Source organism: Homo sapiens, chromosome 9 (genome assembly GCF_000001405.40).
Source record: "Homo sapiens chromosome 9, GRCh38.p14 Primary Assembly".
NCBI lineage: Eukaryota > Metazoa > Chordata > Mammalia > Primates > Hominidae > Homo > Homo sapiens.
Genome location: NC_000009.12, coordinates 119,926,876 through 119,951,986, shown reverse-complemented (window position 1 = coordinate 119,951,986; position 25,111 = coordinate 119,926,876). Strand labels below are relative to the sequence as shown.

General features: G+C 41.3%; 2 long non-coding RNA genes across 2 annotated transcripts in view; one reads left to right on the top strand and one right to left on the bottom strand.

Moving 5' to 3' along the window:
- Nucleotides 1-25,111, top strand: part of LOC107987122 (uncharacterized) — a 101,852-nt gene that overhangs the window by 17,559 nt on the left and 59,182 nt on the right. The window lies entirely within an intron of this gene.
- LINC01613 (long intergenic non-protein coding RNA 1613) lies at nucleotides 14,155-16,927 on the bottom strand. The gene has a single exon (NR_132393.1). It is a non-coding gene; the product is annotated as a long intergenic non-protein coding RNA 1613 (long non-coding RNA).

Below are 25,111 nucleotides of genomic sequence, written 5' to 3'. Positions count from 1 at the left end.
ATGGCTATTATTATACTTTTTAAAAAATTCTCTGTGCCTAAAGGTTGAAAACAGAACCTAAGTCAGGTATGCCAAAGCCGTTTCACCTTAAATGTCAATTCTCATTGATCAGTACTGGCTGCCTGGGGCAGAGAATTGTGCTGAGATGTCATGTGAGGTTGTGTATGAGATCAGCAGGAAGAAGTGCTGTGATCAATTAATAATGCCTGAACAGGGGAGGCAATGGGAGTGTCGGTATCAATGCCAAGTATTGTCAATCCTAAAATAAATATTGTTTAAGTGCTATGAATTCTGAGTATAGATCGATGTGTTATGAGAGAATACATGGACAAGGTGTGAGACTTGAATTAGCCCTTAAGGATGGGACAGGGGACAGGTAGAGAGGAGGGAGAGATAATCTAACACAGATGAATTTGAGTTTCATTTTGTTGGTAACATAATATTCTATTTTGGGGCCCCAGCATCACAAGCCAAAGTTTTAAAAACTCATGCCTTATTGACTGACTGCAAAACAAACATATGTCCTCTTCCTTGGCAATGGAGGGACTGCTTGAGCAAGATCTGAGTGAGGGGGCAAAAGGTATGTGCTTCATTTACCAAACCCCCAGGTCTCTGGTAACTTTCCGGAATGCTAAGCTGTTTATTTTGGGAGTCTTTAAGCTTAGTCAGTTGGTATTTAGAGACAGCTAGGAATTTTGGATTTCACTCTCATTCCAATAGAAAAAAGAAAAACTTAAATGCCTTCCAAATACTGGTAAGTCAAATAAGGACAGCCTGGCTCCAATCTGGTCTCCTCCCCCACTCCCTACCCCCTCTCATAAACTCAGAGAGAAACACAGAATGAAAAGAAAAAAAATGACATAATAAATGCACTAAGCCACAAGTTAAAACTTCCTCTGGAGAACGCTAGACAACGAGACTCCCTTGACATTAGCTGATGCAAAAAAGCATCCATCAGTATTTGTCAATGTCCAAGCAAGAGGAGGGGGCTGAGAGAGCCAGCAGGGTCAATGCCTAGCTGGAAATTCCATAAGGGTGTCTTCTCTGTCTTTCATGTGGGGCTCTGATACAAGCCTTTAAAAAGCTTCCATTAGCAATGTAATTGATCTTCTGATGTGAAGCAATAAGAAATCCAGCAAAATAAATATGTGATTACAATGTACAAAAGTAGACACATATTAAGTAGCAGGTTTAATGTTTACTGCCACAACCATCTATAAACCATGCTTAGATATAAGTTTCATTATTCCTTTGTACCTGTCCTCAGCTCATGAATTCCTATCTCTGCCAGGGGCAGGAAACTTAATCCTGTACATTCAAATAACTCAGCAACTTTCAGCTTTAAATGTGATTGATTTGGGATTTAAATGTAGGCAGGCTAAAATTCTATTTCCCTCCTTTTGCTCTTCTCCCCAAAATGGAAGGGGTGAACTAATTTCCAGCGGTCTTGGCTTTGTCAACCTGGTATTGGCAGAAGGGCATTTGGTGCTTGTGCAGCTCCATGAGGTTACCTGTCCCTTCACAGGTCATTGGCCTCTCTCCAGATGCATTGATTGCTGTTGGTGGCTTCTCCCTGGCTGATGGTTGTCAGATCCTCACACCTCCTTTCCTGAATCCTGACTTAAAATCTCTTCAGCTCTGTACATCTTCTGCTCTTCTACTCCACCAGCACATCTCAGCATCTCCTGGAGGTGTATGAGGTTTATGAGTCTGTCCTTGGCTCATCCATCTGGACATCTCCCTGAGCCATGGCTGCTGACTTGTGCAGGGACATCAGTTACCAGGCAACAGTCCCCCTCCTCTGTAATCTCTCAAGCTCACTTGGGTTCCAGTCATCCTACCCTGAGTAGATTGTGTGACTGGCCCCAAGGTTTTGACCCTGCTGATATACATGTAATTTGCATGAGACTTTGAGGTTCTTTCTATAAAGGCAGGACATATCCCCTCCTCACTGCTACCTACCCTCACCCTGCTTGACTTTGAGCACAGCCATGTGATTTGTTTTGGCCAACAGAGTGAGGCAAAAGTAATGGCAGATCATTTTCAAGCTTAGGTCTTCATAGGCTTTCACCATTTTCTTTTGCTCTCTGTGTCTCTGCCATCACCAAGAAAACATTCCTTAGCTTGCCTTCTGGTCCAAGGAGGAAAAGAGATACACAGAGAAGAACCACCCCAGCCAAGTCCAGACTAAACAAATGGACTCCCAGCTGACTTGTAGATGGATGAGAATAAAAGCTTATCATAGTATATGTCATTAAGACTTTGAGTTTGTTATGCAGCATTTTTATGGCAAAAAGTAACTGATATACTCCCATACCCAGAACTTAGCTTCAGACACTGGAAACCTGGGGGCCCTAAGATCCAGTATTTCTTTTCTGGTGTTCCTTCTCTTATCTTATCAAATTTTGATCTCCTTTCTCAATGGAGGGAAAACTTCTCTTTAAGTGCCGTCTATTTTTCTTTCCTTGACTATGATTTATGCTTTCAATTTGATGTTCTGGGTCCTTCATGTTGTAGGTTTTGAGGAGTAAAGTGATGTTTATGGAAGTCAAAAAGTCATTTTCCCTCTCTCAAGAAGCCTAGTTTTTGTGCACGTTGGCTTTTGAATCTACAGTCTCAGTTTTGTGGTAAAAACAAATCCATTGAGAGAGGCTAATGACTCTGTATTCTTGGCTGTATCTGCTTTTCTTTGGAGGTCATTGTATCCAGAGAAGTACAGTATCTACTTTTCCAAATAGTCTAAACGATGGGAGAGGTAAGAGGCATGTGATGAGTATGAGAAAGTTGCAAGGAGAATTGGCCACTTGCTTTTTCAGACCAGTATCCTACCACGAATGTGAGTGCGTGCAGAGCCAGCATTATCATCTCCACTGCTTCCATTCATTGAGCACTTACTGCATGAATATTATGTGGTAGACACTTATTTTTGCTGCTGTAAAATACACACAACATAGAATTTGCCATTTCAACCATTTTTAACTGTATGTTCTGTGGCAATAAGTACATTCACTTGGGAATGTGAACAATGGGAAGCGTTTTTAGACATTTTTCCATTTACCACAATGCCCCTACGTGGTATTATTATTCTTCCTAGGATACAGGTAAGATACAGGGGCTGAGAGAAGTTAAGTGATATGCCAAGGTCACACAGCTATTGTCTGGCAAGTCAAAAACTCATATCTGCCTCATAGCATTTCTGGACTATGAAGGAATCTTAGGCAACATCTAGTTCAGTTGTTTTCAAACTTATTTTTGTGAACTGCTCAGTTCTTTTCATAAATACAATTTCACATAGAAGCTTGTGGTCACAAGCATTCCTGGTCTCATTCTTTACTCCTCTGCATACCTGGGCCCTTGGCTCATGCACCTGTGCGGTGCCCTTCCACTATGGGCAACTGGTTCCATCCCTTGATGCTGAGTTGGCCAGAGTCACACGATTTGCCAATAGGATGTTAGCAGAAGTGACACAAGCGGAGGCTTGAAAAAAGCGCTTGCACAATTGGGCTTGCACTTTTGTGCTTCTGTCATTGCCGTGGGAAGGATGGTGCCTGCACTTTTCCACTGGTTCCAGGAGGAGGATGGGAGACACATGAAGCAGGGACAAACTGCTCCAGCGAAACCCGACTCAGGCCCGTCCACTCCATCCTACCAGCCTTACCCCGTGATGCTGAGTGTACATGGCGAAGATATAAACTGCCCAGTCCAGGTCAGCTGACCATGCAGACATGAGAGACAAGTGTTCATTGTTGAAGTCACTGAGTTTGTGGGATTTTATAAAATAACAGCTTCATGGCAATAGTTAACTGATACAAACCTCTATCCCAAAAAAACAATGAAAATGGAGCTTTTCTTACTGAAGCAGTGGGAGGGAAGCCTGGAGTCTGAGCCATTTGTCTTCCCTCATCCTCTGTGGCTGGCTGTGAGGCCATATGTTAGCACCAGGTTCCATGGAACACCCTTTGACAAACCATTGCTCAATTCCACACCATCTGCCTGGGACTCGTTTCATTCCCTTCTTCTTCTCCTGGATTAAATCTTTAAATTCTCTCTACAGCATCTCTGTCACGCTTTCTCAGCTTGAACACCTCTGTCACAGGGAGCTCCCTCTCTTCTAAGACAGTGAGTTCTACTTTGGAAAGCTCTGGTGATTGGACAGTGATTCCTTATTTGCTGGGGAGCTCAGGGCTATAGCAGAAGAATGGGGTAGAATATGGTGGGAAAGAGACGGTTTCTGGTCAAGCTTCTACCAAAGAAATAGCCGACATCTTTGCCCTCAGATTCTTCTCTTCCGGGATAAGTGGGTGATGGCACACACACACACTTCATAAGCAGGCCCAACCACCCACTTTTTATAATAATTATATTGAGCACATACTAGGAGTCAGGCACAGTGCTAAGGATGTCAGATGGGTAATCTTTAATTATTTGAGATAGGCATTATTATTAGTCTGATTTTGCTAATGGGAAAACTCAATCTGGAAGATGGTGAAAAACTTGGCCATGATCTTGCAGCTGGTCAGTGGTGTAGGTGGTCTTTGAACTCAGGTTTGTTTACTCTGAAACTGGTGTTCATAGGAACTGTGTATTAATAATAACAACAATAATAGAAGCAATAGCAACTATAATAACCATACCATGACTATTAATAACTAACTTTTATCAATTCCTTAAGGGTTAAGCCTTGTTCTAAGAGCTTTGTGGGCTAATTTATTTAATCTTCACAAAAAAACCTGGAAGGAAGGTAATTTCCCATTTTTAGAGATTAATAAACTGTAATCCCTCCCCAACCTCAGCATTTTTATCACTTAGAGTGAATTTCTTCCTTATTTGAAATAGTGAGTTCTCTATCATAGAAGGCATTTGAATCAGGGCTGGAAGAATGCTTTTTAGGGGTGTACTAATGCTTTTTATGGGTATACTGGGTAGTGGAACCTACTAGTGACCAGTATGGTATCTTTTCCACCCTGACATCCCTCCCCACCCCCTCCCCACCCCTTCCTGATTCCTCCCCAACTCCACCCCTCATTTCTACCCCCATCACTTCCATGTTTGTGAGCAAGAAAGAAGGAATCCCTTTCACTTACTGGGTTTCTACTACAAGCCAGATCCCGAACTAGGTCTTGTATATCATCACTTTATTTCGAGCTCACCCCAGCCTCCAGAGAATGCTGATATTGCTCTTATAGTGTTTGCTGCCATTTATTTGTTTGCTTGACAATTGTCTTGCCTCTAGACCACTATCTTGGGGATGGCAGGAACTATGCTTGTTTTATTTCTCTCTAGGACTACTGCACTTAGTAATTCCTCACTAAAGCAATGAATAGAACCCCGGCTCACAGAGGCATGACCAACTTCAAAGGTAGCCACACAATGGATAAGAGCAAGGCTCTGAAGCTGAACTTCCTGAGTTCAAATCCCAGCCCTGCTACTTACTAGCTCTGTGGATTTTGGCAAGTGATTAGCTTCTCTGTGCCTTAGGTTTCTGCATATTTAAAAGAAGAATAGCATTTTTACTGTACCGAGGAAGTCAAGCACAGTGGTAAAAGTAGGGATTCTGGAGACAGACTGCTCAGGTTCATATTCCAGCTCTGCCTCCATCTCCTAGGGCATCTGAGACAAAGCATGTCTATGCCTCTATTTCTCCCCTGAAAAGCTAGCAGAGGTAATAATAGCTTCTCTCTCACAGAGCTGTTGCAGGGTCTAAATGAGCCAAGACTTGTGAAGAGCTCAGAACAGGTTCTGGCACAGAGTAAATAAACATGGCAGACTCGAGGTCATCTGGCTAGTTAGCAAGCTAGACGAAATTTAAGCCCAAGTTCACCTCAAAGTTCATTGCTCTTTAGAACACCCCGAAGTTTTGAGATGTGCTCTTTGCTTGAGTTACTTTCTTTCAGTACCTCTAAGAGAGCAGACCCTTTCCTCACGCTATTTCTGCAATCGACATCCTGACATACATGAAACATTTTCTGCTTTGCTAGAGACAAACATATTTTCCACCCAGGGAGGAAGTGGAGCCTGCTTCTAGAAGGGAGTGAAAAGAGTCATCAAAAAACAGAGACCAGCAAAGGAAGATGCAAAAATAATTAAAGTATGAAACGTGCTGCTGTCTTCGCAGGATTTCAATTTTGCATTTGCCTAAGGGGAGAGGGGTGGCAGACGTTCACTTTCTCACACTGATACACATTTTGATAAAGTGTGATAAAGACTTAGAAAAATTGACAGATTAAATTGGAATAAGAGCTTTGGACGTTTGCATCCTGTAAGCAAGGAGAAGGGGTGAATGTACAGAGAAGCTCCCCGGGGTTTCCAGCCTCTCCCTGCATCACATGACAAAGCAGCTTGCGTGCTTTGGGTCCTTCCATGGGGCTCTTCCAGCTCTGTGGCAGGGTCCAGGTTTAGTGATGAAGACGTGGAGCCCAGAAGGAATAAAAACTTCCTGTGGTCAATGGGAAAGTTATTGGTTTGGCAAAGCTGGGATTAGAATTTGGGTCTTCTGATCCCTGGTCCCTTGTTCCTCCCAGCCATCATTCATTCATTCAGCCATTCGAGTATTCATTTATTTAATCAATATGTAGTAATGGTCCTGTACTGGGCATCAAGCATTCAGTGTGAAGGAAACAGGATCGAGACCAACAAACAGCAATGACAGCTCATGTTTGTTTTATTTTATTTTCACTTTCTCTTTTTCTACTGAGGACTGTTATTCTTTCCAGCCCTTTCCATTTCTCTGTCTCATGTGAGCATCAGGCCAGGTAGGTAGAGATTGGTTGGGATTTTCACCCTGTGTCCTCATCTGCCAATCAAGCCTTAGTAGAGTCCTTTGCCCATGACTTGATGACATATTTTTCCCTTCCTGAGTGCTGGGAGAAGGCAAGACGGCACCACCACCCTCAGGGACTTCAGGCCACTTGTCTCAGATTCAGGGAGTATAGCATCCCCTGGTATTAATTAACTCCTTGAGTTAAATTGGGCATTTGTAAAAGCTCAGAGGGCCAAGTTCAGAGGAGAAGTGGATGTGGACATCTTTGACCATTGCATCATTTATTTGAACAACACATATTTATTGGGCAGCTACTATATGCCAGGGCCTGTACTAGGTGGCCGAGGTGTAATCTTTAGAAGCTCCCGGACTATCAGGAGAGGTGTTTCAACAGACAATACTAAACGGGTCTCAAGAAGACAAAGATGGTCTTATCTCAGGGGTCAGTTCAGAGCTAACAGGGTAATATTTTTAGAGTCAGCTGGATTTGAGTCTAAAACCCTCTTCCTCTAAGAAAGACCTGTGCATCACTCACTCTTTATGAATCCCAGTTTCCTGCTCTATAAAATGAGGTGATAATACCTAACTCACTGGGTGGTTGTGAGAAATCACATGACATAATGTTTGTGAAGCATCTGGAACACAGTTGGCTCTGTCAATATCGATTTCTTTTCCCTTTCCTCCTGGTACATGCACTTGTTTCATGCCTGTGAACTGAACCAGGCCTCTTGCCAATCAGATGGCCAGATCCTCAGGGACAGGGGGAAGTATCGTTGCTGGCCATGTGACCTGGGCACCTGATCCACAGAGTGAGGATAATCAGGCCTCCTTTCCAGGATTATTGTGAGTATGGCCAGGACTCCAAAGAGGCAAGGGAGGTGCCAGGGTCCACAGTGTAAGGAGGTACTCATGGTTAGGGGTGCACCCATGAGTGCAGAGTTGGTACTTGCCTTGATGGTGAGCACCAAATATATCCACCAATGCAAAGTGGGGATCCCAGAACCAGGCACTAAGTGGGCATAGCTTTTGGCTGGGGTTTTGTGCATGAAAGAAGTGGAAACTCACTCAAGCTATTTCAAAGAAGAGGAGTTTATTTTAAAAACATATGTTCCCCCCTATAAAATGGGGGAACAGGGTCTCATGGGAATCATCAAAGAACCAGGACCCAAGAATGGAGCCAGGTTGCAGGGAGCCCAGAGTGGAGGGCCAGTGGAGGATGTGTGGTAGTTTCTGGAAGTCCTGCAGGAGTTCAGGGCTCCCTTAGTGTGGCTTTCAAGGTCCTGCAGAACATGTTCCTCTCCTGCCTGCTTCCCCAGCCTCAAATCTGACCCCTGTTTTTCATCAGATTCTGCCCCTGCCCACAGCTGCCCTGCAGTCCCTGAGTGCCCAGTTCTTTTGCCTCTGTTTCCTGCATTTGTGCCCCTGTCTGGACACTCTTGTCTCCTCTTGTCACCAGGAAAACTCCTGCCCTTTTTTCAAGAGCTGGTTTCATTCAAGAGGTCTCCCTGGGCCCCTAGTACAATTTATTCAAGAGGTCTCCCTGGCCCCCTAGTACAATTTAAGTAGCCTGTGATTCTCTCTCTTGAGGCACTCTTTCTGTAGCTACATATTTACTGGCATAACTATTTGTTCAACATCTGTCATTTCCCACTAGACTGCCAATTATGTGATGACAAGGACTGATCTGTTTTGCTGTTTACTGTACCCCAGTGCCTGGCACAGTGCTTGGCAATGGGAGGCGCTCCATAAATATTTATTGAATGAATGAAGGAAGGGCCATTTCTTTACTCCAATAACCTGCCATTCATGTGCGTCAAGCTGCACTCCATTTATGAGCTGCATTCTGCCACCATTTGCTTTTCCCTGCTTCTGGAGCTTCTGGGTTATTTTCTTCCATACTGAAATTTGTTCCTGGCCCTTCACAGCCTTGAAAAACCCCATCCTCACCTTTCAGCTGCAGCTTTTAACACCAACTGGCAGTCTTTTTATGTTTCTTAGTTAAAATTGCCTAGAGAAAAAATGTGACTGGTCCAGCTCACCTTGTCAGATGAGATCATAGGGTTGATTCCATGATGGACAGCCGGTCTATGGATCAGTTGCCTTTGGGGCAGGTGTCCACATAACCCTGTATGGTCCACATAGTCACTGGCCACATGGGGCTATTAAACACTTGAAATGTAGCCAGTGTCACAGGCAGAAGTGATACCATTTCTACATAGTGGCTCAATAAAATATGTTATTCAAATTAATTTTCCTTGTCTTTTTACCTGTTTAATGTGTCTAATGGAAAATCTAAGATCACATATGTGGCTCGTGTTATATTTTCACTGGACAGCGTCGAGGCAGTTGTTGCTGGAGAGTGGGGGTAGGGAACCAGATTACATGGTGTAAAACAGGGGCCACCTGAATGGCAGGAGCTGTGTTTAGGAAAGCTTCCTTTAGAAGGGGGCACTGGATAACATCTGTTATATTTTGACTACTGCAATTGTTATTAGAGTCCATTCACATGTATTTATTGTGTATTTTCTCAGTAGCATTCATCATTTTATCCTATTGTATTAGTTATCTATTGCTGTATAACAGTATCAGGATAAATTTGGTGTCCTAAAGCAACAGACATTTATTAATTCACAGTTTCTGTGGGCCAGGAGTTCAGGCATGGCTTATCTGGGTCCTTTGCTGTAGGGGCTCAGAAGGCTGAAATCAAGGTGTTGATTGGGGCTGTCCTCTCGTCTTGCTTCTTGACTGAGTAGTTGTGGGTTGTTGTGAGCTTACTTGATTTTGGCAGGATTTAGTTCCTTGAAGCTGTGATACAGAGGACAGTTTTTTGCTGGCTGCTGACTGGTGTCTTGCCACACGGGCCTCCCAACATGGCCACTTGTTTTATCAAAGGCAGCAAGGGGGAGAGTCTTCTGGCAAGACTGATGTTACAATCTCATGGAACAAATCGCAGAAATTACATCCCATCATCTTTGTCCTGTTGGCTAAAAGCAAGTAACAGGCCCTGCCTGCATGCAAAGGGAGGGAACCACATGAGGGAGTGAACGCCAGGTATCATGGGGGGCTCCTGAGCATCCAGCAACCACATTGTAAAATGCTTACTTTGGAGCTGGGACTACAGACATAGGCCACCATATGTTCCAGATATAAGCCATTATATTAGGAATCATTGGCTCCAGTTACCCTACAAGGAAACTGAGGCCCAGTGTCTTAGTCCATTCGAGTGGCTATAACAAAATACCATACATAGACTGGTGATTTATAAGCAACAGTCATTTATGTCTCATAGCTCTGGAGGCTGTGAAGTCAATATCAAGGTATTGATAGATTCTGTGTCTAGTGAGGGTCCATTTTTTTGGCTCATAGATGGCTCCTTCCAGCTGTGATTTCACATAGTGGAAGGGTGAATGAGCTCCCTTGGGTATATCTTATAAGGGCACTAATCCCATTCATGAGGGATCTCCCTTCCTGATCTAATGGCCTCCCTCAAAGCCCCACCTAATACCATCACCTTGGGGGATAGGATTTCAACATATGAATTTGTGTGGGAGGGTACAAACATTCAGACCATAGCACCCAGAGGAGGGAATGCGGCTGCAAAGATGCCACAGGGGGTGTCAGCAGTGGGGTCAGAATGTGAAACTCCCCACTCTACATCCCACCAGCTCCAACAGCAAGTGGTGGAATTGAGGCAATGAACTTTGTTCTTAGCAGAGAAAAGGTCATAAAATTCTGCAGATTGGGAGAAAAGGCTGATGGCAGCTCACCCCTCCTTAGAGGTGCAATGGCTTTGAATGGGCCTCTCTCATTGGTCAAGCATCTTGTGTCCTGGTCACTGCAAGAAGACAGGCAGAAAATGTCCTGCTGTTTGTGGCCATTAATGACCTGGGGCCTTCCCAGGCAAGTTGGAGGCTGACGTGCAGAGGCCCAGCAGGATCTCTAGTTAGCCACAATTGGTTCTGCTTCCAATTTCTAGGCTGACCAGCTGGAGACATGGCATCTTTCTTGCTTCTGGAACACTGTGAGGCAATATTCAACCACATGCAGAAGCTTGTCAGTTGGGAGTGTGTGTACACACAGCTCTAAAAGGTGCAGAATATCATCCTTGAATTTAAGAGTGTAGGAAGTCCTTTAGAGCTAACAGAAATGTTATCTATCTATTTATTCATTTATTTATTTATAAACATAGTAATATAGTATTGACGGCCAAGCAAAATTCAATTTATGCTTTTCGAAGAGGTATGGGGCTTAACAATTTTCTGTATTACTATACTTTTTCTGCTAAAATGCAATTTATTTGTAATATAGAATTGTCTTTGTAGAAAAACTTCACTGGTTAAAAAACATCTTTATTGAACTATAATTGATAAGTAAAACTGTACAAATTTCTTGCATATAATTTGATGAATTTAAGTATATATATATATATATATATTTATACACCCATACAACAATCACTATGATCAAGACAATAGATATATCCATCACCTCCAGAAGTTTCCTTATGCCATCTTTTTTCTGTTCATTTGTTTTTGTTTCATGCATAGTAAGAGCACTTAACATGGGATCTACCCTCTTAAATATTTTTGGTGCGCAATACACTATTATTGACTCTAGGCATTATTTTGTATGGCAGATCCCTAGAACTTATTAATCTTGTATAACTGAGACTTCATACCCACTGAATGCTACTCCTCATTTCCACTGATGAGAGGTGACAACTGATATTGACCTCATGTTTACAGAGCACTTGGCAGTCACACACCTTACAAGCCCTGTATTTTGAATGACAAAGCTAGGCCTTAGGAATAAGCTAAGTGATTTGCGGAAGTAGGTCTCAAATCCATAGTTTTAGGGTCAACCTTCTCCATCTCGCCATCTTTTGCAGGACAAGAGAACATCTGAATATCTAGTAATAAAGATAGTGGGAGCTTATATTGCATGTTTGTTGTGGAGCACCCACTGTTTTATGCACTTCCCATGGACTAGCTCATTTAATCCTCACCATAATCCTGACAGGTAGAATTGATCATGACTGCCACTTCACAGAAAGGAAACTGAGGCTCAGGAAGGTTAAGACACTTGTCAAGGTCACACAGCTTATAGGTGGGAGAGGAGAAGTTTGAGCAGACCCCATAGACTTAACCACTCTGCATACTTGCTCAGTGTGGGGCAATCTCTATAGTGACCTGACCTTTCTATTTTCCATATGGAGAAACTGAGGCCTGGAAAAGTGATTTTCCAGTGGATTTTCCCTTTGCCAGTGGATTTTCCCTTTGCCAGCTTCAGCTTTCAGAGCTAATGGCCTTTAAATGTTCCTGGGTGTCCTGCCCTTCCACAGGAAGAATGCAGGATAATTAAAATCTATCTTTCCCACCCTTGTCTCTCTTTCAACATGTTGTAAACTATTTTTTTTCCTATCATTTTGGTCATTTCCAGCTGCTCATTTGGATAAGATCTGGTACCCTGGAGTTCCTCTGATGAGCAACATCACAACCCAGTCCCCTCCCATGGGAAGCCAAGGAAGGGGACAGGGAGGACAGGGAACATTTTCCATTAAATTGGCCTCCTGCAATCTCTAGAGTTTAATCTTAACTTGAAAGTGTTTTTGATCAGATGGCAGGCTGCTCCCTCCTTCCGGCCCACCCCTGTTTTTGGGCCCAGCACCTTTTCTCTCCCCTGCATTCAAAGTTATGTGTGATTGGAGGTAGGGGGTGGGGTGGAATGAGTGGCCGTTCTTTTATCTCCATCTTCCAGCTGCCTTTCTGACCAGACAGAAGTGCTAACTTCAGTACCTTTTGTAGAAGCTTGGGATCAGCTGCTATATTGAGATCTGACCTGGTGTCTGCATTTCAAAAGCATCCTGTGCCCAGTGCTCACAACGGCAGCCTCCTCCTTCCTTCCTCCTTCCTCATGTCTCCTCCTTCTTCTGTCCCCTCCTTCCCCTCTACCCCTGACCTTGCCTTCTCTTCTCTGCTCTTACACCTTTTTCCGTGACTGTTTCTGTATTGTCCTTTTATGCTTTGGAATGAATCACTAACATAGTTTTCCTGCCAAGCAAAGCAAGGTCTGATATCCTTCTAAATGGTCCAGGATTTGCAGGGAAAATAATGTCTCAATGTTCTGAAGGCCTCATTATGTATTCATTTGGCAAAATGCAGGTTTACGAGAGAGGGAGACTGTTTGCTTTCTCCATAAATGAATTCTTGGCAAGGCAATATCCATCCAGATTGAAAGTATCCCCAGGTCCTCTTTTCCCCAGGGGAGCTATGAGGCACTATTATTCCAAATAAACCAAATGTATACTCACAGCTATGGAATAGAAAAACTCTGGACTTGTAAGAGCTAGCCACATCCTTGGTGTTTGCCAGACCTAGGTGTGAGATCTGGTCCTGCTGCCTTCTTGCTCTGTGAGCTTGGGCAGGATCCTACCCTCTCTGAACCAGCATAGTGGGGATAATAATGGCACTTACTTCCTAGGTTTATTCTGGGGATTCTATTAGATGATACTTAAAAGTTTCACTGGACCAGGGAAAATGCTCAATGGATATCAGTTCTGTCTCCCTTTCCCTAGGATAATTTACAGGGAAGACATTTTTAGTTTTGGAGCCCAACGCTCTGCCCACTGACCCCCATTTTGAGAGATAACTGTACAATTTTGCGAAGAACAATGGCTTGGGCTACTTTTTTGAGCCTTTGTTTCATCATCTGTAAAATGAAGATAATCCTGGTTCTGATTGTGGTGAAAACTTCATTGCAATATAATTAATGCCCTCCAAGAACAAATCCATTTCAAATAGTCATATCATGTTAAAGAAAACATATCTATAGTGCTTCCAGTTTTTAAAACATTTTCATAAACTCATCCTTTTTTATCTAAGTATCAGAAGAAGACCCATTTTCAAGGCTTCTGCTAATTATAAACCATTCTATGTATTTATTAGAGCAGGCCCCATAGACATTCTGTTCTACCATGCTACTGTATACTTTAAAAAGTAACCCACCATATTTCCCTATATTGCTTTATTGTGCAAAAGTTTCACTCATTTAGACCTTCTCTATACACACATATACATACACATATAGAAAGATGCACATTGAAATTTAAAATTTTTTGCTGGAGAAAAATAGGAAAGACTAGCTTATTTTTCATGCAAGCATCCTTAGAGGAGGAAAGATAGCTGAGGATATCTATAGCAATGGGAGGCCCTAATGACTCAAGTACCTCTTCATCCCCAGGTTGATGTTTGAAATTCTGCCATCAGAACTACATCATTTAGCTTATGGCTTGGATTCCCTATATGAACGCAGCTGTCCTTGGCAACCTACACCGTTATTAGTCATTCATACCTTATTTATGCATAGTCTAAAAAAAGATGAATTGCAATGAGGGATGTTGAGAGCGAGGGCATAGGGTATATTTGGGAACAGAGGAGGAAACAGTACCAAGAACAGGAAAATGACTTCAGAAGCTTGATGTTTTTGAAGCTTCGTTGATGTTTGATTGGACCATCTTTCCTACTCACTCCGTCTTTTCTGCTTTAGTCCAGGACCTGCTGTTCTCTTTACCTGGATGGCTGAAGTGTCCTTCTTACTTCACTCCTTGCCTCCGGAATCAACAGTACTGTCAGAAGCATGGTCTTTCTAAAACCCACAACAGATTATGAGAGATTAGAAGAATTTTTATCTTTAATGCAGGCTAGACTGATGCATGATCTCTTTGGGCCCTCCATCTCTGATAAACTGGGAGTCTAGGTTCTGGATATCCCTTGGGAAAGCGCCATTCACCATGGTGTTTCTTCCCTTGTAAGAGAAGGAAGGAGAGATTTGAGCTGAATATTCCTCAGGCCCCAGCCATCAGCCACTGCTATGCCATCTCAATTTCCTGTGTTTCAGAGACTCCTACCTGCAGTTCTCCATAGCCACCTGGTGTTCTTCATCTCCTTCAGAGCCACTGACTCAGGTGTATGCCCTGTGTGAGCATGAATTTACTGGGAAATCTGTCTGCATCATCTCCTGTGACTGCTGAGTCCATTTGTGTGTGGGAGGGGTGAGGGCCTTTGCCTCTGCTATTCAGCACTGCATATTTTAAAGGGAAAAACAGGAACAGGTGGATGATTAAATAAACGTGTTGCTAGTGGTCAAGGTAACACAAACAAATATTTGGTATCTATTGGGACCTATTAAAGAGCTCTCAATTTGCTGTCAAGATTCTCATCTTGTCTCTATCCCTGAATTTTATAGGACAAATTACTGCCCCTTGCTGGACCTTGGTGTTGGTGTCCTGTTCTTTAAGATAGGGATGGGAGGATGCATTGATCTGATGAACTTTAAATCCTAACTGTGCTTTGCTAAATCCTCAGCACACCATATTTCACAGGTTGGCTTTTTTTCCCCTCACATTTTAGCATTTATGAAATTGATTTGCATCTCACAATCAATGACATGTCATAGTTTAATTGGCAACATTTTTTTCTTTGTTGGTGATGCATAAAATTATAGCATGTCATGCAGTTGATGGCATTCCAATCTGATGAACTGTGTTTCATTCATTATTCCTTCCTTCCTTCTTATGACCATGTGGGCCAAGGGAAGGAACCAGGTCTGATAGCAGATAGTGTCTTCTTTCTGCATCATTTCTCAAATTAAGCCATCTCATTGTAACCTTTAGGATTAGGCTTAGCTGCATAAAAAAGAAGCCCTGCAAATAATGTGGCTTTATAAAAATCATTTCTTTCTTTCTTATATATGAGAATTTCAGAAGAAGGCAAGCCAGGGTTGGTATGGCAGCCTTGAGATGCTCAGGAGCCCAGGCTCCCATTATATTTCATCTTCTTCATCCTAATGCACAGCTTTGTACTCAAGCTCACTGTTAGCCCACGATAGTGGATGGAGCTTTAGTTTTTCATCGGCAGGGAGCAGGAAGAAAAAAAAGAAGAAGGGAACAAATGATCCACCTTCATTAACTCAGGTTGCTTTAAAAGGACTTTATGGAATTCTCCCACAAAAGTACTCACTGTCTGTCCAGAACTTGGTTGCATGATCAACTCTAGTTGAAAGGGAGGCTTGGGAATATAATCTTTTTGCTTGATGCTTTGCTGCTTCAAATAAAACTAGGCTCTTCTATTAAGGGAACAAGGCTATTGGGTAGGCATCCAGTAGTCTCTGCCATATCAGTGAGGTATGGAGTCTATGAATCTGGGCATCAGGAGATAATGTTTCTAATTTCATCTTTCCTCACTTGGCCTCAGTTTTCTCATAGACATAATGTGGTTAATAATGTTTCTATCTAGTGGAAATAATTTTCTTGCAAGTAGGTGAGACATAGTTATGAAACAGCTTCTTTAATAAAAGATATACTCTAAAATTAAGGGACTTGGTTTTTTAAAAAAAATTATCAAGAAAATCTTTACAAAGATAAAGACCATCATGAATGGTCTGGCTTCTCACTCTGCAGATCTTCATTTCCTAACTTTTATTCTTTTCTTCAAACATGAAAAGTGGCTTTCAGGTCTTCTAATCTATGCCTCCAAGTCCAGCCTGGACCAGAATCAAACATTTTGAGCTATGGCCATCTGTGTCTTTAAGCATGAAGCTGTCCTTGTTTTGACTCTGCTGCCTAGAAACCTTCAGACCATTCTCTTTTTACTCCAGTTGTAATTCCTCATTCTGCAGATAAATTCCCTTTCATTCCTTCTGCTAGTGACAGACACTGGACACTGTATGGGCTCTTGTGACTGGCTGGGGTTTTTCATATGAATATGGAAATAATTTTGAGGCCAGGGGAGATGTGAGAATCAGGCCGCCTGGGTTTAAATCCATTGATGACTTTTATATCTACACAACTTCAGAAAGATTACACCCCGCCCCGGCCCACCAACACCTTGCATTTTCCTTGTAGGAAACATAGAACTGTTGGAAATATTAAAATCTAACCTGAGGAGATGTGAGGATAAAATAGATGCAGTATGTGTAAAGCCCCAATACAGTCTCTGCCCCAGAGTAGGTGCCTTTGTTGACACTGCAATAAAGAATCCTGGAAATGTAGATCCAGGAGAAGACTTAGAAATCATTGGTTCTTTCCCTTTCTTTTTATAAACAGAAACGAAGGCCAGAGAGTGGAGACTGACTTGCCTATGGTCACAGAGCTAGTATGAGTATCAGAACTCTAACTCAACTCTGAATCTTCTGACTCACAAATGCCAACTTTTACCCACATTCCAACTCAGAACACCATCACACATGTAGGTTTCTGTCTTTAAGTTTTACATTAAGAAACTAAATGCTTACATTAGAAAAGGGGATTAACTCCTTTTCAGCCCATGGAATGTGTCTGACGTGGGGAAGCAGGTCTTGGTGGCTGGTACCATTCATCTCTCTCACAGCATTTGAAGCAATCTTCAGTGATGACAGAAGCTACAGAACACCCATGACATCAGCCTGACCCCCTGGACTGGTGGGGTCAGGGTGGGGTTGTCCCCTGACAAGATTAGAAACAAAGCAGACGTTCCTTGGACTTGGCTGTCTACAGGATGCCAACAGCTGCCATTGTCGGGAAGTGCTGGGCTGACGGCTGATAATGGGGTGAAGCCCTGTGACAGCTGTGGCTCTCACTAGGGGCCTGGGTTTGGAAATGCCCATGAACATAATAAAATTTCCTGCAATACTGCTACATAGAGACAGTCATGTTCTGCTGGATGTCTGGCTAATGTCCATAAACTTATAGATAGCATTGGCTGATAGATGTCCAGCACTGACAAATGACCACTGTTGCTGATCAGATCCTCCTTCAAGAAAGAGCTCATGGTCCAGTGCAAGGACTGGGTTAAGGGATGGCATCCAGCTGCTAGATCTTTTGGGCTCACCTGAGCTTTCGAGATGAGGTCATGTTCTTCTTGGGGCAGCCCCTGTTTCTCAAATTATATTTTTCTCTTTCCTATTGCTGAATTGACCCAACGACATTTACTAGGTCCTTGTAAATAAAAAACAGCAAAGGTGGAGATCAAAGGTGCTCTTAGATCAGAGGAACAAACATGCAGTAAGCCAAGGAGTAAGGAGATGAAGATGCCAGAGCCCCACCCTCAAAGAGCCTAATGTGTGACAAAGAGGGGTGCCTGATCATGGTAGTGATGCAGATCCCTCATGGCTTGGGGCTGTCCTTGTGATAGTGAGTGAATTCTCATGAGAGCTGGTTGTTTAAAATGTGTGGCAGCCCCTCCCCTCTACTGTGTCTCTTGCTCCTGTTTCCACCATGTGACATGCCTGCTCCCCCTTTGCCTTCTGCCATGATTGTAGGCTTCCTGAGGCTTTCCCAAAAGCAGATGCTGGTGCTATGCTTCCTGTTCAACTTGCAGAACTCTGAGCCAATTAAACCTCTTTTCTTTATTAATTACCCAACTACAAGTATTTCCTTATTGCAAGGCAAGAATGGCCTAACACAGCAGGTTTTGCACAGGTATTGGCATTAGTTTTGGACTTTGAAGTAAAGACTGTGTACAGCAGAAGTGGGGATGACATGGTTGGCAATCAAGGACCTGAGGTGTATTAGCCTGTTTTTGCATTGTTATAAAGATATATCTGAGGCTGGGTAATTTATAAAGAAAAGAAGTTTATTTGGCTCCTGGTTCTATGGGCTGTACAGGAAACATGGCATCAGCATCTGCTTCTGGCAAGGACCTCAGGAAGCTTCTACTTATGGTGGAAGGCTAAGGGGGAGCAGTCGCGTCACACGGTGAGAGACGGAGCAAGAGCAAAAGGAGCAAGAGAGAGGGGAGGAGGTGCCCCACTCTTTTAAACAACCAGCTGTCATGTGAACTACCAGAGCAAGAATTCATTCATCACCAGGGGCATGGCGCTAAGCCATTTATGTGGGATCTGCCCTCATAACCCAGACACCTCCCAGCAGGCCCCACCTCCAATACAGGGGATCATATTCAACATGAGATTTGGAGGGGACAGATATTAAAACCAATCAGGGCATCTGCCTGCAGAAAAGCAAGAAGGCAGGAGATTATGCCCAGTACTTAATGAATGGTAAGCTTGTTCATTTTGCCACTTTGTCTGGAGCTAAGGGGACCCTGCCTATCTCTCCAGCTCACTCAGCCCTCTCATCCCTGCTGCTTACCTTTAGTCCCATTGGCTTTTCAGTTCCTAGATGTCCCAGGCTAATCTCCACTTTTGCATCTCTCTTATGCTGATTCTTATGCCTAGAACCTTCTCTTCTCATCAGAGAGGATATCTCTTGTGTTCACCACTGTTTCTACAGTGCCCAGCATGGATGCTGGAACATAGTAGGTACTCAATTATTATCCATTGAGTGAATGAACAACAAGAATAACATTGGACAGGCAGGTTGGTAACAATTCTTGAAGCTTCTTAAAAGCTGAGTTAAATAGGTTGAGTTTTATTGTTAGGCAATGGAAAAAACTCATACTTACTCATTAAAAAAAGTTCTCCAAACCTCCTTGGTAAGATTAATAGTATTTTATATATCTATGGCACATCTATATACATTATCACATTATACTTTTAGTGATTCCTTGAGAGATTTTAGGAAACTCATTTTATTCCCTTGAGGATAAGTCTGCAGCTCAGGGAGGTTGAATGGGGGGTAACAAGTTCACCTAGCTAGGCATGTGACAGAGTCAACTTAACTCCAGGTCTAATGACCTCACATTCTTACTCCTTTTTTTCCTATTGTGTTAATGTTCTTTGTTGGAAGAAAGAGCATTTTGTATATTTGAAATAATCAGAAACCATAAAATGCAGTGAATATGGATAAAAATATATGTGTATTCTCAGGGGCCCACAGCACAGGGCAGACCAAAATTACTAAGAGGAAAGCTGATGTCTTCATGGAAGGAGTTATTTCTTGTGCCAGTCAGTCCTAAGCCAAATACAGATTATCCTATTTGAATGCTTACTGATTTGAATAGTCAATGACACAAGGTGGCAATTTATGTCTTTACAAATAGTTTTAGGACAATTCTTCTTAGCTCCTTAACTGCTACATTTCTACTCCTCACTTCTTTGCTCATTCCGTTTTGTTTGAAATGCAAAAAAGAAACAGAGGCCCAACATTAGAGCTGCCCCTCCCTTGTGAAAATAAGAGGTCACTGTGTACAAATAGGAAGGCTGTTTTCTTTTTCTTTCATTTATTCATTTTTAAAATTTTTATGTATATATATTTTTACTTATTTATTTATTTTGTATTATAGTTTAAGTTCTAGGGTACATGTGCATAATGTGCAGGTTTTTTACATATGTATACATGCGCCATGTTGGTGTGCTGCACCCATTAACGGGTGATTTACATTAGGTATATCTCCTAATGGGATCCCTCCCCACTCCCCCCACCCCATGACAGGCCCAGGTGTGTGATGTTCCCCTTCCTGTGTCCAAGTGTTCTTATTGTTCAATTCCCACCTATGAGTGAGAAAATTCAGTGTTTGGTTTTTTTGTCCTTGTGATAGTTTGCTGAGAATGATGATTTCCTGCTTCATCCACGTCCCTACAAAGGACATGAATGCATCCTTTTTTATGGCTGCATAGTATTCCATGGTGTATATGTGCCACATTTTCTTAATCCAGTCTATCATTGATGGACATTTGGGTTGGTTCCAAGTCTTTGCTATTGTGAATAGTGCCGCAATAAACATGTGTGTACATGTGTCTTTATAGCAGCATGCTTTATAATCCTTTGGGTATATACCCAGTAATGGGATGGCAGGTTCAAATGGTATTTCTAGTTCTAGATCCTTGAGGAATCACCACACTGTCTTCCACTATGGTTGAACTAGTTTACAGTCCCACCAACAATGTAAAAGTGTTCCTATTTCTCCAAACTAATTCACAATAAAAGCTTTCAGCAAACTTTTATCCTTAACTTGATAAAAATCATCTATAAAAATCCTATAGCTAACATGATACTTAATGGTGAAAGATTAAATACTTTATTCCTAAGGTTGGGAATAAGGCAAGGATGCCCACTCTTATTCAACATGGTACTGGAAATGTTAGCTAGTGTACTAAGACAAGAAAAATAATAAAAGGTATATTTCAACAAAACCAAGAGAGTAACTTCCAAATGTCTCACTACAAAAAAATGATACATAAGTGAAGTGAAGGAGATGTTAATTAGCTGGGTTTAATCATTCAGCATTGTATACATATAGCAAAACATCACATTGTACCCTATAAATATATACAATTATAATTTGTCAATTAAAATAATAATCTACAAGGGGATTAAAAATATTAACAAAAACAAAGTAATAAAATATCTCCTATTTGCAGAAGACATGATTTTCTACTTAGGAAATCCAAAGTTTGGAATCTATAAAATCAAAACGACGACAACAACAACAACAAAACTCATGTTAATAAGTGTGTTTAGCAGGCTTACAAGTTCCAAGATTCAATTTTAACACAAAAATCAATTGCATTTCTATATACTAAAAATGAACTTGTAAATATCAAAATTAAAATGAAATATCATTTAGAATCATGCCGAAGAAAATGAAATACTACATATGCTTTTAAGAAAACATGTACAGGATCTCTATGCTGAAAAATATAAAACACTAATAAATCAAAGGAGACCAGAATAAATAGAGAATAATACTGTGCCATGGACTGGAAGAGTCAACATCATATAAATTCTCCCCCAAATTACAGGAGGGATCCTTGAAATCTTGGAAAAGCTCTGTGTATTGATGGAGGTGGTGGATACATGAAGCTATACAGGTAATAAAATAAGGAATTATATAAATACATCTTAACATGTACACACACACACAAGTAAAATGGGATAAATCAGTATAAGTTCAGTGGGTTGAATCAATGTCAGTATCCTGTTTGTGATGTTACACTGTAATTTTAGAAAACGTTACCATGGTGGAAAATGGGCAAAAGTGCAAGGTGTAAATGAATCTACAATTATTTTAATACATATTTCAATTAAAAACATAGAGTATTTGGTTTTTGTTTTCCTGACTGGACCCAGTCAATATACGTAGCCTTAGGATAAAGTCAACATTATAGAAAGTAGAGCATAAAGATGCAAAATAGTTCAGGTCCATTATGACCTTGCTGTGCCTTGGATCAAACCAACTCGAATGTTCGTTCTATGTCTGTACTTCCCAATCACATAAGCCAATACATTTTCTTATTGTTTAAGTCGTATGAATGATCAATAGATTTTCCTTTCCTATTACAGGGAAAGTTCTCATTCATGCCTCTGGGAGGCGAACTGAAGATAAATTTTACGAAATTCACTTGTGGGTGGCAGTGATAATGTAGCAGAAGTACACAGTACTTGGAAGTACTTAAGTTTGAAGCTCTTTAATAGCTGGGTGACCTTAAGCAAATTATTTATCTTCTCTGAAGAGGCTACTGAGTTCTAAAGCTTTTGTGGTAAGGCTCCATCCATGAAACAAATACTGAGTGTTTTGTCTGAGTTTTAGAACAGCAAGTTAAATAGACAAAGTCTCCACCTCATAGAGGTTTCATTCTAGCACATGAAGACATGCCTTAAATACATAACCAATTAAATAAACAATACATTGTATTGTATTATAAGAAATACAATACATTAAAAAACAATACTAAAAGAGAAAAAGCAAGTATTAGAGTGTTGTGGGGTAGGAGGATGGGGGCTGATACTTTATTGTGTGGTCAGGGAAGGTGTGAATTATAATATGGCATTTTAAAGTACTTTTATTTTAAGTTTAGGGGTACATGTGTTACACAGGTAAACGTGTGTCATGGGAGTTTGTTGTATATCATTCAGGACATAGGCACGGGCAAAGATTTCATGACGAAGATGCCAAAAGCAATTGCAAGAAAAGCAAAAAGTGGCAAATGAGATCTAATGAAACTAAAGAGCTTTTGCACAGCAAAATAAACTATCAACAAAGTAAACAGACAACCTACAGAGTGGGAGAAAATTTTTGCATACTATGCATCAGACAAAGGTCTAATATCCAGCACCTAGAAGGAACTTAAATACATTTACATGAAAAAAAAATCCATTAAAAAGTGGGCAAAGCACATGAACAGACACTTTTCTGAAAAGAAGACATACATGTGGCCAGTAATCATACAATACGCCATTTGAACAGAGATCTGAAGGAAGTGAGTGAATGAGCCATCTGGCTATCTGGACAAAGAGCACCCCCAAGCAAGAAGAGGAAACAGCTTGCCTCTTTGGGCATGTGTTTATAGAGCTGTTAAAAATGATCTGGTTAATCTCTTAGGGAATCTTTATTCTCTGGTTGTCCAAAATGTTATATTTACTAGATGTGTAGTAAGAAACTAAAATTTTTATTAAAATAGTCACTTTTCAGTTGCCTGAGTTGGTTTCCTATGAAAAAACCTGTATGTGACCTTTTGGCTCACATGGATGGAGAAAACATGTGTAATTCCCTATCAAGGGCAATCCCTATCAGATGTTAGTCTCTCTTCTTTTTCCATCTCAGTAGTGTGGCAGGCAGAATTAAAAAAGATAAGTGGGTGTTAGGGGACATGAGCTTGGAGATACCTCCAAGCCCGGTATTCTCATCTATCAAAAAGTCATACTTGTAAGGTTAATTTCATAAGGTTGTAGATGTGTGAATTAAGTGAGGAAATGGAGGAAAAGGCACTTTTATAAACTTTAATATCTTTAGTTTCAGGTCAGTGAGATCATTCCCATGACTTGGTGGCCCAAAACCTTTTCTTGTGGGTAGGGAAATAGGCATGAAAACCCTGGATCCTAACACGCTGAAAAAAATGCACATATAGGCAGTTTTGCATTCGATTTCAGAGTAAGCCTGAGAACCTCTGAAACCCATCTAATGAGGCTCAGGTAAAGACCCCTATTAAACTATTAGGTTGGCATTTTAAAAAATCAAATAAAACATGGGTTATTTTAAGAGTAAAATGGGAAAACGGACAGGAAAAGACCTTGTGTGTTGTAAGATGGTATATCGACTTGGGTTATTATTAAATGTTTATGAGGACGCATTTGTGTAGAGGCATGAGCGAATTAGTGCATTCATCTGATCCTGTGCTTGCTGTGATGGTGAAGGAGGATGATGTATTGCTTGTTTGTGAAAACATATGCAGGAGTCCATTTGTGGGCACTGATGGGCATAGTTCAAACATATGTGTAAGCATGTGCAGCTGTGGATGTGCCTCTGTGTCTGCGTGCCTCTGCTACAGTTTGTTGGAAGTGAAGCCCTCCCTTTTGGATCAATGCACCAAAAGATGAATCTTGTATAGAGCAGGAGCCGACATCCTGCAAGGTTTTCTGAAAAACTCTTTTGCAGGAAGATGCTAGCACAGTCTGAAAAACATTGACCATGTTCAGAATCATGTCTGCTGATTTTCTGCCACTTTTAAAGAGAAAAGGAAAACATAATCCTACCTTTGGTCTTCAGTTGTTTTCACTTATTTTGTTCCTTCTAGTGATGGAGATCCAAAAAGGAGAAAAAAGTTTTCATCAGGAAATAAATTCCTTCTGCTCCCTAGGTTTTCAGGAGGAGGGTACAGAGCATGGTGGCAAGAATTTGAATTTGGGAGTCAAAATATATGACTTCTAATTCCTTCTGTACCACTGGTGGCTGACACATCTTGGACAAGTTGTCGAAGCTTCCCAAGCTACAAATTGCTTATCATTAGGATGAGGATAATAGCTATTTCTACCACATTTTGGCATTGTTGAGAGTATTATAAGGGGTAACTCGTGCAATAATTTGCATAGAATAAACACATTTATTTTATAAAAGAGTTACATTTCATGTCTAGTCAACATATGTAAAATACTTGGGAGAATTAAATAGTGCTTTCTTTTCCGTAGTGGGCTTTCTAGATTAACTCTGAAAAGGAGCTGGGGAAGTTCTCATTATGTATTTATTTACAACAGATGTTTTCCCAGCACCTATTTTATGCCAGGCACTGTGTTAGGTGTTGAAGATACAGGGGAAAACAAATTCCTTTTATAGTAATAATCCCTACATAAATAAATTTACAGTCTACTGAGAGATATAGGCATTAAGCAAGCAGGCAAACAAATAAATGTATCATTAGAACTGTAGTAGAGTAAAAAAGGAATACCAACAGGAGCTGTGAGGGCCCATGATTAATGGGAATGATCTAATGTAGACTAAGTCATCAAGGAAGGCTTCTCCGAGGAAGTGACTTTCAACCTGAGATCAGAAAGGAATTGGTTGAATTGGTATGGAGCTAAAAAATTCTCTAAATTCTGCCTCTCAAGATCTGTTTTTTCCCCCTGTGATTCTGCGAAACAAACATGAAATTGAATTCCTATTCCACGCTTAAAAGTAAGAGAAAAGGGTGGAGGAATATATG